We start from the raw sequence: 13,838 nt of genomic DNA, 5'->3' as shown, positions 1-13,838 counted from the left end.
GGGAGGCCCCTCGGGCCCTGGCCATCAGGAGGCGCTGCGGGACAGCTGGGTGGGCTGTGTGGGGTGGCAGCCTGAGGGGCCCTCAGTGCCTGTGTGGGTGCAGCCCTCTTGCAGGTATTGGGCGTGTGTGACAGTGTCATGAGGAGGGCAGGAGCCTCGCCGATGGGAGAGGAGGCCTCTAGGGAGGGAAGGAGTCCACTGAGGCAGCTAGCTCCTTTGTCACTTAAATGGGGTGGCCACCTGGATTTGGGGTCGGGGCACCCTGCACAGGGGAGCTTCCTCGGAGCTTTCTCTGCTGCCCGGCCCAACTTCCGGCCCAACTTCCATTCTCATCCTGACCGGTGCAGTGTCTCCAGGCGAGTTGGGCGAGGGTCGCAATAGGATGGGGTTGGAGGGTGAGTTCTGCCTTGGGGACACACCAAGCTCAAAGACAAGGTCCATGGGGTGGAGGCAGGAGAGGCAGCCTCAATGAGGCGGGGCTGAGAGGGCTCTCAGGAGCCCATAAGCCTTCCCAGAGGAGGGGCTGGCCGGCTGAAATGGGCTACAGAAGGTCCCAGGTGTAGAGGTAGGTAGGCCTTCCAACCTAGGACTCAGGCAACAGAGGGTGTGTGACGGCAGGGCTGGTGGCTCTAGGGAGAGCAGGGCAGAGGTAGGGAGAGCAGGGCAGAGGTGGGCAGAGCCCCACAGCCAGGGACAGCAAGGGCCTCTGAGAGTGGGGGGCTGGAGTCCCCTGAGGCTGGGGTGTCATGCTCTTTATAGTGGAGGACCCCCAGCCGGTGGGTGGGAGCAGGTGCAGGGCCACTGAGGAGGAGGTGTGTGCTGGGCGGTGGCAGTCCTGCAGCCCAGGCCAGATGGTGGGGTGAGGTGGGGACGGGGTCCTCTGCTGAGAGCCGGGAGTGGGATGTTCGGGTGCTGGGCTCTGGATGAGTCACTGCTCACCAGGCCGCCCGGCGCCAGCGGGGGCCTGGCCGCAGGAAGCAGCAAGGGCTGATCGAGGGCAGGAATGGAAGCCGCTGGACCTCCCACTTCCTGTGGCCTGAGAGCTGGGGCTGGACGCCGGTGTCCACCGCCTGGGCTGGATGGCTCAGAAAACAGAATGCACAAACGCCATGACCTGCGTGGCTGAGCACCGGGGGCGTGCAGGATCTGTCCCAGTGGGTGCAGGGAGACCCAGGAAGCTTCTGCTCACACAGGAAGGAGGCTACAGAAGGGCTATGGATCAGGGTGGAGTGGAGACGGTGGTCCCAGCAGGGCCACAACCAGGGCCAGGCCAGTGAGGTGGAGGAGGGTGTGGCAGGCAGGTATCCACTTGACCAGGCTTCGGAGAGGGTTCAGGGGTACCCAGGAGAGGGGGGTGCTCACAGCACATGGTAGGGCACTCTGGGGCTGGCTCCTTGGATGGCGGGGCCCTGGTTGGGCAACGATGCTCAGAGCCCCTGAGCCAGAAGGCAGCCTGCAGCACCCCAGCATTTCTGGCATACTGTGGTCACCACCCCAGCCCACCAGCAGGGGCCCAGGGTGATCATGCTCAGCACCACCGCTGCCAAGGTGGTCCTGTAGGACCTGCATAGGGGAGCTTCCCTAGAGCTCTGGTCACAGCCCCAGCACCCTCTCCCTGGTACCCCCACCTGACCTGACTCCTGGGGACCCCAGCAAATAAGCAGTCACCACTATCCACCTGCCCTGCCATGGCTTGCCACCGCCTCCAGGTTGCCACTCCAGAGCCTTGCTCCTGTCCCTGGTCCAGCATGGCCTCAGCTCCTGCTGTCCCCACCTGTGCCCCTGGGACTCCTTGCCCTCCCTGTCAGCACCCGGCTTTCCCCTGACTGGGGTCTATGCCCCGCTGTCCCTGCCTGTCACGCCTTTCCTCTGTCACCTCCTCCCTTGGCAAACTCAACCCAAGTGCCACCTCCAAGAAGCCTTCCTTGCCACCCTCACCCCCATGGCTGGGCCAGAACCTGCTCTGGGACCTCTGCAGCTGGCAAGTGTCTCTTTGTCCTGACTCTGCTCACCTTGTGTCATCCCTGTCCTGGCCAGTGGCTTGCTGAGGGAGGGGTCTGTGGCTGGTAGAGATGATGGCAAGAAGTGCCATGGGCTGGACGTCTGTCTGGGGCTTGCCAAGACCAAAGTGGGCCTGGGCTATCTCATCCTGCCCAGAAGAGAGGGGCTGCCTCAGTTTCCCCAAACCTTGAGTTCTTGCTCCTCCTTCAGCCCCCAGCCCCTGACCCCTCCCAGTGCCACACCCCTCCTGTGTGATTATCTAATCCTGGGGCAGCCAGGTGCCAGGCTGCTGCGGGAAAACGCTGAGACACCCCAACCCCTCCCGGCCCTTGCCCTAATGACAGCTCTGCACCTGCCCACACAAAGCCTTCCCAGATTCGAGTGGGAACGTGGTGCCCCTGAGCCCTCTGGAGCCAGCACAGCGCTGACTCCTGATCTCCCTGGGTGCTCAGGCCTGGGGATGGGGGACAGGGAGCCGCCTCTTCACTGGTCCTAGGTTCAGTCTCTGCCAACACAGAGCTGCCCCAGGCCTCGGGAGGAGGTAGAGTCTTCAAGGAGAGTCTTCCGGAAACATGGCCCTCGAGGACTCGGAGGCTGTCGGACAGTCCTGCAGAGTCCAGGGGGGTGGGGGGTGGGCAGGAATGTGGCCTCTCCCTCCCGATGGCCCTGCCCTGAGGCCCAGCTGGGGAGGATGTTCCTTGGAGCAGACCCCCCCCACCCCATGTCCCCTTGCCGCATACACAGGCATGAGGCCCAGGCTGCCCCTGGGGACAGCAAGTGACCGAACCCTGCAGAAAGCCAGGAGATGCTGCAGCCACGTGGCCAGCCCTCCCTGGCTGTCATTCTGTCCAAAACAATGCGAAGGAAACGCAGCCAAGCCCTGAGGCTCTCCAGTGTCATGACGTCTGGTGCATTTTGGGGAAATACCAAACATCACGCCCTCTTAAAAGCGCGGCTTCCTTGGCGTGCACAAGGGCCAGGCTCTCAGGCAGCTGGGTAGAGTCTGGCCCCCACATACTCTCGCCCCCCACCCCGACCCCGCCTGCCCAGGGCTTGGGCCGGACCCCCAGACCCCAGGGCGGGGTCAGGTGCAGGGACGGGGTCAGATCATAGAGGGCCCAGACTGCGGGACCCGCCGTATCCTAGGGGTTCAGATCTCCGGGCAGGGTCAGGTGCAAGGGGCAGGGCCAGATCCCAGGGGGTTCAGTTCGTCGGGGGAGGTAGAGGCGGGGCCAGATCCAAGGGGGGGTCAGACCGCGGGGCAGGGTCGGGGGGCAGGTGCTAGGGTGGCTCCCCGGTGCGCTCCTGGGATTGGTCCCGGGCGCTGGCTCCTCTTTAGTCCCCAGCGGGGCGGGCACGGCCCCCTGAGGCCGCAGCTGAGCCTCCCACTCCCGGCCTGCGGTCCCGAGTCCCGGCCGCACCTGCCGAGGCCCAGGCCGCGAAGGAGGGAAGGCCGAGCCGGGCATTAGCCCCCGCGCCGGGCGCCGCGGGGAGGGTCTTATCAGCGCGGGCAGCTGGCGGCCTGTCCCTGCGCGAGCGCCCCGGCCCAATTCAATGGCCATTGTCCGCCGGTCCCTTTGTTCTGAGGTGTCCGCTTCCTGCCAGGCTAGGAGCGGGCGGGCAGGAAACCCTCCGAGCCGAGGCCCAGACGAGGAGGCCGGCCCAGCCTGGGGTCAGAGGCGACGGCAGACCTGGCTCGGGGCTCCCGGGGGCTGGGGAGTGAGGCTGGGGCTCGGTGTGCGGTCTGCAGGGCGGGGGCAGGAGCGGGATGTCCCCTCCAGGGGGACACTGTGAGGGCGGGGCTCCCGCCTCCAGATCCTGCGGCGCTGGGGGCGGGTGGAGGAAGGAGGAGGAAGACCCTGAGACAGAGGGTGCCCCTCCCAGCTCTGCAGCCTTCCTCTGCTCCCTGCTGGATGACAGGCTCAGAGAGAGCGAGGGCAGGCTCAAGTTTCAGGGTCGTGAAAACCCAGCGCCCACGGCCTCCCATGCGGAAGACGCCCACCCAGGACCGTGGGCTGGGAAGAGGGGCTGAGGCCTGGGAGGGGAGTGATGCGGCCAGGGTTCATCCCTCCTTCACGGGGGCCCTGCGGCGCTCCTGACCATCTGAGGCCGTCTCCACCCCCTCGTCCTCTCTCCCCTGTGCTCCACGCTGCCCATTCACCAGGCCCCACAGGTTCGCCCAGCACAGCACCCTGGTTGGCTGGCCATCGGTTGTAAGCTCACCCGTAGCTGGGGCTGGGTCTCTGGGAGCTGGTGGGAGGGGGAGTTGGCACCAGTGCCACAGCCCACCGGTGCCCACCAGAGCTCCCCATGGCACTCGAGGCCACTGAACCAGCTGGAGCAGGATGGCCACAGCCGCTGCTCACTTCCCACCATGTGCCCTGGGGTCTCCTGCAGTTCCTTTTTCCGAGACCCCCTGGGTGCCTTCCCAGCAAAGCCCTGGCCCTGACTCAGGCCAACTCAATCAGCAAACGGAAGCCACCGCGGGGATTTCAAACAGCAGAACTTAATGCGAACAGCTTGGAGGGGATGCAGGAACGTAGAGAGGAGAGTCTGGCAAGCCGGAAATCAATTTCCTGCTGCAAGAGGCAGCCGGCAGGTGGGGTTGGGGGGGGTGCTAGCCAGGTCCCACTGCTGCCGTGTCCCCACAGATTGGGCCAGTGGTTCACCCCCTCTTGCTGACGTCCCTGCCGTCATCACCACTGCCTCTTTCTGTCCCCATGTCCGCCACCACCATCATCACCTGAAGTTGCCACTGACGGACAAACATGGCCTGTCCCTCCTCCTTCTGGACTTCCTTGGACAGAGCTTCCAGGGAAGTCAGCAAGAGAGTGTGGGAGATGCGGAGGCAGCCTTCCCTGGTGGAGAGGAGGCCCCCCACCCTCCAGCTCACGGGCACGGTGGGCCCCAGGTGGGGAGGAGGCCCCCCACCCTCCAGCTCATGAGTACAGCGGGCCCCGGGTGGAGAGGAGGCCCCCCACCCTCCAGCTCCCAGGCACAGTGGGCCCCAGGTGGAGAGGAGGTCCCCCACCCTCCAGCTTACAGGCACAGTGGGCCCCAGGTGCAGAGGAGGTCCCCCACCCTCCAGCTCACAGGCACAGTGGGCCCCAGGTGGACAGGAGGTCCCCCACCCTCCAGCTCACGGGCACGGTGGGCCTGGGGGCCACGTGCACATGGCTTTCAGCATTCCCACCTACAGCTCCTCCCGGGAACTCGATGAGAGCAAGCCAATGGCCATCCCAGCCCAGCTGCTTGTCCCTTGGACAAGTCTTCCCTGCCTCTGAGGCTCCTGGGGGAGTTCACACAGGTGAAAGGAGGTGCCAGATCTTAGTGGGCACTCTACAAGCAGCAGCACGTGTTTATGAAGGGCCTGGCACGAACCGGGGCACTCTGGGGAGCCATGCCATGCTGCCTATGAACCAGAGAAGTGGGGAGGCAGCCCTTGGCATAAGGAGCCAGAGGGCACACAGCCCAGGAAATGGAACAGGGCCCTGAATCTGAGTCTCCTGTGTGAGCTCAGGTCCTCTGAGAAGAGGACACCAGGATCCCATGCAGGTGCGATTCAGCTGGGGAAATGCAGGTGAAGGATAGAGAGGGGAGGAGGCACAGCAGCAGGGAGAGCCTGACTGACGCAGGGGTGCTGGGAAGGATGGAGGTAAGAGAGCTGGGTGGTGGGTGGGAGGAGCCTCAGAGCTGGGGCTGCCTGGGCACGATGCCAGTGTGATGCGGGGCCAGCGCTGGGCAGCTGGGCATTGTCTACTGGCTCCTGCGTCAGGATGTCTGCACACAGCCTCGTCACAGCCATCTTCACCTGGTGGCAGAGGAGGGCATGTGTGTCCCCCGGGGGCAGGGTGGTCCCACAGTCTCTGTGTGCTAGAGACTCCTAAGGGGAGACTTGGGGGATGGAAGGAAGAGGGGAGGGGGTGAGAACCTTGAAGACCAGAGGCCCCAGGGTGGTTGGCCGGGTCTCTGCCCAAGAGAGACCAGGAGGCAAGTGGTCCCAGGAAGGGCAGTGGTCTGGGGGCGGGTTCCAGGCTGCCTCGTGGTAGCAGGAGCTCCTCAGGCTTGGGGACCACACACAGGTTGTATACAGAGCTGGGGAGAGACTGACGGCGGCTGGGCCCTCAGAGCAATGATTTGGAGCTGGGTGGATTCTCCCGGAAGCTGGGGGCGGGGTGCAGAGGAGCTATGCCTCGGTTGGCAGGAACCTCCGCTGACTCCTCCTGCACCTTCTTTAGATCTCCCACTGAGATGTTGCCCTCCACCTCTCTTCTCCAGAAGGGAAAGATGTTGGGGTGCCCTCAAGTTTCCTTTACCATGAAGGACTGTCCCCTGGCAGGTCAGATGTCCCATGGGCTCTGGGCTCACTCAGGAGCACATGCTTTCCAGGACCCGCAGGCACTGGGCACCTGCAGCCATGGCCCCTGTACAGTGGCCCTCCCTGGCCTCCCCATGTCCAGGGACACCCCCCACTCCCCAGCCACTGTGGGCTCCATGACCACCACTCCCACCCCACCCTTGCTGCCTGGGCACCCACAGCCTGCCCTCACCACAGCCCCTCAGTGCCCAAGCACCCTGTGCCTGGCTCCTCAGGAAGCCCTCCGTGATTTACACCAGCTGTGTTGATGCGTGTGTTCTGGCTGCTGGGTGTGGAGCTGAAGCCTAGGAAGAAGGCAGGGGCTCCCTGGAAGGGCAGTGGGCCCTGGCCCGGCCCCGGGGGGCTGGCAGAGCGGGGAGGCTCTGGGACACTGGGCCTGGCGGTGTTGGCTGGGGCGCGGTGTGGGGGCTGTCTTTGTGGGAGGTCCGTGCGTGAATCACCCCTTCAGGCACAGGCACAAATGCAGGAAGTTGCCATTCTACTGAACTCTATTTTCTCTCACAGAGGGGAAAGTCTGTCACACGAAGGGCATTGTTCCCTGGGCTAGCGCTTTCCGGGTGGGCTTGCTCTGCAACGGGGGCTGGGGCTCACTTGGTGCTGGGGCCCTGGGCTGAGCCGTTTCCCTTCGAGACCCAGGGGCGCCTAGGGGCCAGGAATGGGGGCCTCGGTCCAGCGGCCAGCCCCAGGTGACACACGTCCACAAGGCGGGTGCCGGCAGGAGCAGGGCTGGGGGCCTATCGAAGGAGGGGCTGGGTGGGCCTGAGTGCGGCAGGTCTATTCTGTGCCTGGCGGTGGTTTCCGGAGTCCCCATGTACAGGGTGGGCTGGGGAGAGGAGGGCAGATGTGTCCTCCTCTGACTTGCCACACCCTCCCTCCTCTTCCCAGGAAGGGACCATAAGGCGTTCCCTAAAACTGTGAGGCCAGCCCAGCCCCTGCCCCCAGGCAAGGCTTGCAGCCCCCAGCCCTGCTGTGGGCCTGTTTGGCTGCTCTGTCTTGGGGAGACCCTGCCGTGGTTGGGGAATGCGGCTGGGCCGAGCAGGAGGTGGAGCCCGAGAGTCCTGCGGGGATGTGTGGGGTCAGCGTGCAGACCGAGGGTCCTGCGGGGGTGTGTGGGGTCAGCGTGGAGACCGAGGGTCCTGCGGGGGTGTGTGGGGTCAGCGTGGAGACCGAGGGTCCTGCGGGGGTGTGTGGGGTCAGCGTGGAGCCCGAGGGTCCTGCGGGGGTGTGTGGGGTCAGCGTGGAGACCGAGGGTCCTGCGGGGGTGTGTGGGGTCAGCGTGCAGACCGAGGGTCCTGCGGGGGTGTGTGGGGTCAGCGTGGAGCCCGAGAGTCCTGCGGGGATGTGTGGGGTCAGCGTGGAGACCGAGGGTCCTGCGGGGGTGTGTGGGGTCAGCGTGGAGACCGAGGGTCCTGCGGGGGTGTGTGGGGTCAGCGTGGAGACCGAGGGTCCTGCGGGGGTGTGTGGGGTCAGCGTGGAGCCCGAGAGTCCTGCGGGGATGTGTGGGGTCAGCGTGGAGACCGAGGGTCCTGTGGGGGTGTGTGGGGTCAGCGTGGAGACCGAGGGTCCTGCGGGGGTGTGTGGGGTCAGCGTGGAGACCGAGGGTCCTGCGGGGGTGTGTGGGGTCAGCGTGGAGACCGAGGGTCCTGCGGGGGTGTGTGGGGTCAGCGTGGGGTCTGAGGGTCCTGCGGGGGGTGTGTGGGGTCAGCGTGGAGAATGCTTTATGGGCTGATGTGCTACCCAGAGAACCAGGGCATCGTCTGCAAAGGTCTGGGGCAGCGGGCACCCCTCCCACATCCTAAGGGCAATGCCAGATGGGGATGGACGAGGGAGCCATGTCGGAAGTCCCAGGAGAAGCAGCACTCGGGAGCCGAGGTGGAGGAGGAAGAAGCCACCCCTGTTCTCCCAGCTCCATGGGGGGCTGGGAATTGGGCTGAGGGAGAGAAAGTGACTTGTGTCTTCTCCTTGGGCCAGACTCCGCGGCCCAGGCCAGAGCCTCGTCATTTATGAGCTCTGGCCTCCAAGCCTGTGGCTGCATCTGAAGCCCATGGTGGACACCTCCTGCTGCTGCTGGGCCCGCCCCTGCACTCTCCGGAAGGCACTGCCCAGTGAGGGTGGTCTAGGGAGCACCCGCAGGCCCTGCCCCAAGTACCCACCACCCAGCCCCACCCGCCCCATCCCATGACGGGGACCCTCTCTTGCGCCAGGCTGCCCTGGTGTCCCAGGGGCCCCATGGGGTGTCGGGGCACACCCAGAACACGTGACGCCCCTCTGTTGCCTTCGTAGTCCTGGAACCACGGTCGGGAGCAAAACAGACCAACAGAGGAGACAGGACTAAGTGAGAACTGTCCACAGGCTTGGAACACGCCGCGGGCAAAGAGGACCTGGGCCCAGCCCCTCAGGCACTTTCGGCTCTGCGGGTCTCAGAGGGCCTGTGTGCCGTCGGCGGGTGCTATCACCTCCCACCTTGTGGGTCTGTTCCCGGGGGAGATGGGTCTCAGGGGGAGGCGGCTGGCATGGCAGGTGCGCAGCCCTGGAAGAGAAAGAAGCAAAGTGCCCACCTATGCCAGCAAGAAGAGGTGGACTAGGCATGCACAGAGGGGCCGGGGCAGGGCAGAGGCCCAGGAAGAACCACCCAGAGGCTCAGAGGTGCCCCGGGGAAGGGGCCAGAGCTGGACACGGGTGGTGGTGGGGTTTCCCCAGAACACACAGTGGTGGGGGCAGGGTCTTGGAGCCTGGGGAGGTGTGGGCATCCTCCTGTTCACCCCAGGGAGAACAGGTCGCTGGAGGAGGACTCTTTGAAAATACAAAGTCAGAATTTCCCTAGGTTAAAGATGAACAGCTCGAGCAGGAAGGGCTCACAGCTCCAGCAGGAGGGTGGGGCCCAAGGCATCGAGGCATCTGACAACAGGCCCTGGGGCTCAAAGGCACGTTTGTCCCCCTCCCCATCGCTCAGCGACCCCCTCCCCATCACTCAGCGACCCCCTCCCCATCGCTCAGTGTCCCCCTCCACATTGCTCAGTGTCCCCCTCCCCATCGCTCAGCAACCCCCTCCCCATTGCTCAGCGACCTCTGCTGCTGCTCCCGGGTTCTGCCTGGGGGACCTTCCACCTTTCCTATGGGCTCCCCAGCCCTTCTCACCCAGGGAGGCCCCTGGAGCACTGATTCAGGGCCCTCCCCACCTGCAGGGGTCGACTCACACGCTCCAGCTTTCGTGTACATAGCCAGTGACACTTCACAAAGTTTTCCAATTTGTTTTCATCGTAGTAAAAGATACACAATGTAAAATGTACCATGGTAACCACTTTTTAAAAGTTTTTTAAATTGAAAGAGTAATACATGCCATGGTAAAATTTAAATAGCACCTAAAAGTATGCAGTGAACAGTGCATTCCCTACCAGAGTCAACCATGGCCAACAGTGCTTGTGTGTTTTATATTGTGTTAAAACATGCAATAACAACATTTACCATCTTTTTTTTTTTTGGTGGGGGGGTTAAGATGGGTCTTGCTCTGTCACCCAGGCTGGAGTACATCATAGCTCACTGCAGCCTCGACCTCCTAGGCTCAAGAGATCCTCCCACCTCAGCCTCCCAAGTAGATGGGACCACAGGTGCACCACCACGTCCAGCTAATTTTTTGTAGAGACAGGGTCTCGCTATTTTGCCTAGGCTGATCTCGAAATCCTGAGCTCAAGCAATCTGCCTGCCTCAGCTTCCCAAAGTGCTGAGATTACAGGTGTGAGCCACCGTGCCCGGCCATCTTGACCATTTCTAAGTAAACAGCTCAGGATTGTGAAGGAACATTGATGGCGCACAACTTTTGCCACTATCATTTCCAGAGCCCTTCATTGTCCAAAACTGAAGCGGTTCCCATTCAACACCAGTGCCCCCGTCCATGCTCCCCAGCCCCTGGCGCCACCACCCCACTTTCTGTCTTTATACCTTCGACTCCTCTAGGATCTCCTATAAGTGGACTTGGGCAGGATCTGTCTTTTTTGGGACTGGTGTATTTCACTCAGCATAATGTCATCAAGGGTCACCCATGAGTCAGAATCTCCTTCCTTTTTAAAGCTAAGTAATATTCCGCTGTATGTATATATCACACTTTGCTTATCCATTTCTCCATCGATGGACTTCAGCTGTTTTAGGTACAAGTTTTAAATTTTCATAAAGCCCAATTTGTCTATTTATTATCTTGTTGCCTGTACCTTTGGTGTCATACCCAAAAAAGCCACTATCAAACGGAATGTGTTGGAGCTTTTCCTCTGTTTCTTCTCAGAGTTTTATGGATGTAGCTCTTGTATTTAGGTCTTTCATCCATTTTGAGTTAATCTATTTTTTTTTTAGAGACAAGGTCTCGTTCTGTGGCTCAGGCTGGAGTGCAGTGGCATGATCGCTGCTCACTGCAGCCTCTACCTTGGTCTGCCAGGGTGCTGGGACTACAGACGTGTACCACCACACCTGGCCCGAGTTAGGGTGATTAGGGTGGTTGGTGAAGATCCAGCTTCCTCCTTTTGCATGTGAATACCCAGTTTCCCAAGGACGCCTCGCACTCCACCCAGCTCCACAACAAACAAACCACATCTGCCCTTGCTCCAGGTGGGCCCACCTCCCAGGTGCTTGGGCCAGAAAACCTGGGGAATATCTCTGGCTCTCCTGTTTCCTTCATGTTGAACTCTTCTTGGATCTGCTGTTGGGTTACATCCTGGATCCGGCCACGGCTCATTACGGGCCTGTGGCAGACACAGTGTGCGGACCACCCCCGCTCTCATAGTTTCTACCACACTCGGCGGCAGAAGCCACAGGAGTGAGTGACGTGCCCCACCACCATTCTGGGCCGGCTCCGGTTCCCACACCACCTCTCTACACTATGCCCCCCCCTTTTTTTTTTTTTGAGAAGGCCTCAGTGGTCTTCAGCGTGGGGCCAGTTCTGCCGTCTCCTTTCCCTCTCCCGACGTGATTATTTTGAAGTCGATCCTAGATGTCGCCTCCTATTTCAGTTTTATCTCTAACTCGTCTTTCAGAAACTGCCAGCTCAAGCATCCCCAAGCCAAGACGCGACAATGTGGAAAACACCGCGAACAGGGCAAACAGAACATTCTCCACATGGACACATGTTACGTCTTCAAACGGGCCTCAGAATGGCCTGAGAAGTGGAAGCAGCCCCTGGAGACAGACAGACGATGAAGCAATGCCTGCAAAATGCTGGAGGAAAGTGACTTCCAGCCTAGACTTCTTTTTTTTTTGAGATGGAGTCTTGCTCTGTCGCCCAGGCTGGAGTGCAGTGGCGTGATCTCAGTTCACTGTAGCCTCCACCTCCTAGGCTGAAGTGATTCTCCTGCCTCAGCATCCCGAGTCGCTGGGTGGCATGCACCACCATGTCTGGCTAGTGTTTCATATTTTTATTAGAGACAGGGTTTCACCATGTTGGCCAGGCTGGTCTCAAACTCCTGGTCTCTTGTGATCCACCTGCCTCAGCCTCCCAAAGTGCTGGGATTACAGGAGTGAGCCACCACGCCTGGCCCTAGCCTAGACTTCTATACCCAGCCCAGCTATCATTCAAGGATGAGAGTGTAATAGACATTCTCAGATAGGCACGGTGCTCAAAATGTGTCTTCCACGCACCCTGTCGCAGGAAGTGGCTGCAGGATGGGCTCCACCAGAGCAGGGGGAGGGAGCCTTCAGAGGGCTGTGAAGGGAGGTGTCTGGAGGCCAGCTGTGCCCACGTGGGAGCTGGCCGTTGAGAGTAGAGGGTGTGACAGCAGGTGGCGCCCGTGGTGCAGCTAGGATGCTGCTTCTCCACCGCACCTGCTCTGACTCATGCCTGGGACCTGGGAGACGGTGGCGAGGCGCTGGGGGGTTACAAGCAGAACTGCAGAGCAGCCCCTGCCAGCCTCGTCACACGCCCTGACTGTGGGGACCTGGGTATCCTTAGAATCCTCTAGTCCCCACCCACTGATGGCCCTGAATGGCTCCTGTGAAGTCCCCGGGAGGCTGAAGACACCTTGACCCCAGGCTCTGTTCAGTTCTCTTCTCTTGAGACTTTCAGCTGACAGGGTGAGGTTGAGCCCACTGTGAGATTAGGCAAGACAAAAGATAATATAGCTTAGGACATGCAAAACAGGCTGGGTCACTGGCTCACGCCTTGATAGCACTTTGTGGGGGCCAAGGAGGGAGGACTGCTTGAACCTAGGAGTTTGAGACCAGCCTGGGCAACATAGCGAGACCTCATCTCTACAAAAAATATAAAAAATTGGCTGGGCATAGGGGCGCACACCTGTAGTCCTCACTACTTAGGAGGCTGAGGTGGGAGGATCACTTGAGCACAGGAGGTCCAGGCTGCAGTGAATCAAGATTGCACCGCTGCACTCCAGCCTGGGCAAGGGTGAGACCCTGTCTAAAACAAAAACAACACCCCCACCAAAAAAAGAAAAACAAAAAACAACCTATCATCACCAAAACTCCCTATCATAGGTGAAAAGAAAAGGCTTTTCCAGATGCCCAGAAAAAACAGCAGTTCCCAGGCTCTCCCTGCCAAGCACCTCACGAAGGCAGGACCTTCAGCCTGGGAGGAAGCCTTTGTGTACTCAGCCTCTTCTGCAGCGCACTCCTGGGTTGCAGGTGCTCCAACCTGCTCAGCCCCTTTGCTTAGTGAAGCCGCCCTATTCCTACTCAGTGCAGAAGCTTGGCTGCACACACACTCACACACACACCCCCCACACATACCCCCCCACACTCACACACACGCACACATACCCCCACACACACACCCCCTATACACACCCCCACATATACATATCCCCCCACACACATACCCCCCACCCCCCCACAAACATACCCCCCACACATACCCCCACACACATACCCACACACACACACACACCTCCCACACACCCCCTATACACACCCACACACACCCACACACTCACCCCCACACACATACCCCCTACACACATACCCCCACACTCTCACACACACACCCATACACATACACCCCACACACATACCCCCCACACTCACACACACATACCCCCATACACATACGCCCCACACACATACCCCCCACACTCACACACACACACCCCCCACACCCCCCATACCCCCCACAAAGATACCCCCACACACACAGCCCACACACACACCTCCCACACACCCCCTATACACACCCACACATACCCCCACACCCACTCACATACCCCACACACACACCCCATACACACACACCCCCCCACACACATACCCCCACATTCACTCCCACACACCCCCCCACATACTCCCCCACACTCACACACATACCCCCCCACACACATACCCCCACACCCACTCACATACCCCACACACACACCCCATACACACACACCCCCCCACACACATACCCCCACATTCACTCCCACACACCCCCCCACATACTCCCCCACACTCACACACATACCCCCCCACACACATACCCCCACACCCACTC

General features: G+C 61.2%; 3 annotated features.

Annotated features, from left to right (window-relative positions):
* Positions 2,834-3,615: an enhancer, noted in NCBI's record as "H3K4me1 hESC enhancer chr14:105662999-105663780 (GRCh37/hg19 assembly coordinates)". NCBI's record gives its function as "activates a minimal SCP1, AML or CMV promoter by ChIP-STARR-seq in naive H9 embryonic stem cells {active_cell/tissue: H9 hESC(naive)}" and the evidence as "EXISTENCE:reporter gene assay evidence [ECO:0000049][PMID:30033119]".
* Positions 3,616-4,397: an enhancer, noted in NCBI's record as "H3K27ac-H3K4me1 hESC enhancer chr14:105662217-105662998 (GRCh37/hg19 assembly coordinates)". NCBI's record gives its function as "activates a minimal SCP1, AML or CMV promoter by ChIP-STARR-seq in naive H9 embryonic stem cells {active_cell/tissue: H9 hESC(naive)}" and the evidence as "EXISTENCE:reporter gene assay evidence [ECO:0000049][PMID:30033119]".
* Positions 7,526-8,307: an enhancer, noted in NCBI's record as "H3K27ac-H3K4me1 hESC enhancer chr14:105658307-105659088 (GRCh37/hg19 assembly coordinates)". NCBI's record gives its function as "activates a minimal SCP1, AML or CMV promoter by ChIP-STARR-seq in primed H9 embryonic stem cells {active_cell/tissue: H9 hESC(primed)}" and the evidence as "EXISTENCE:reporter gene assay evidence [ECO:0000049][PMID:30033119]".

The sequence above is a fragment of the Homo sapiens genome, chromosome 14 (genome assembly GCF_000001405.40).
Source record: "Homo sapiens chromosome 14, GRCh38.p14 Primary Assembly".
Taxonomy (NCBI): domain Eukaryota; kingdom Metazoa; phylum Chordata; class Mammalia; order Primates; family Hominidae; genus Homo; species Homo sapiens.
This window is presented reverse-complemented; position numbering and strand designations above follow the sequence as displayed.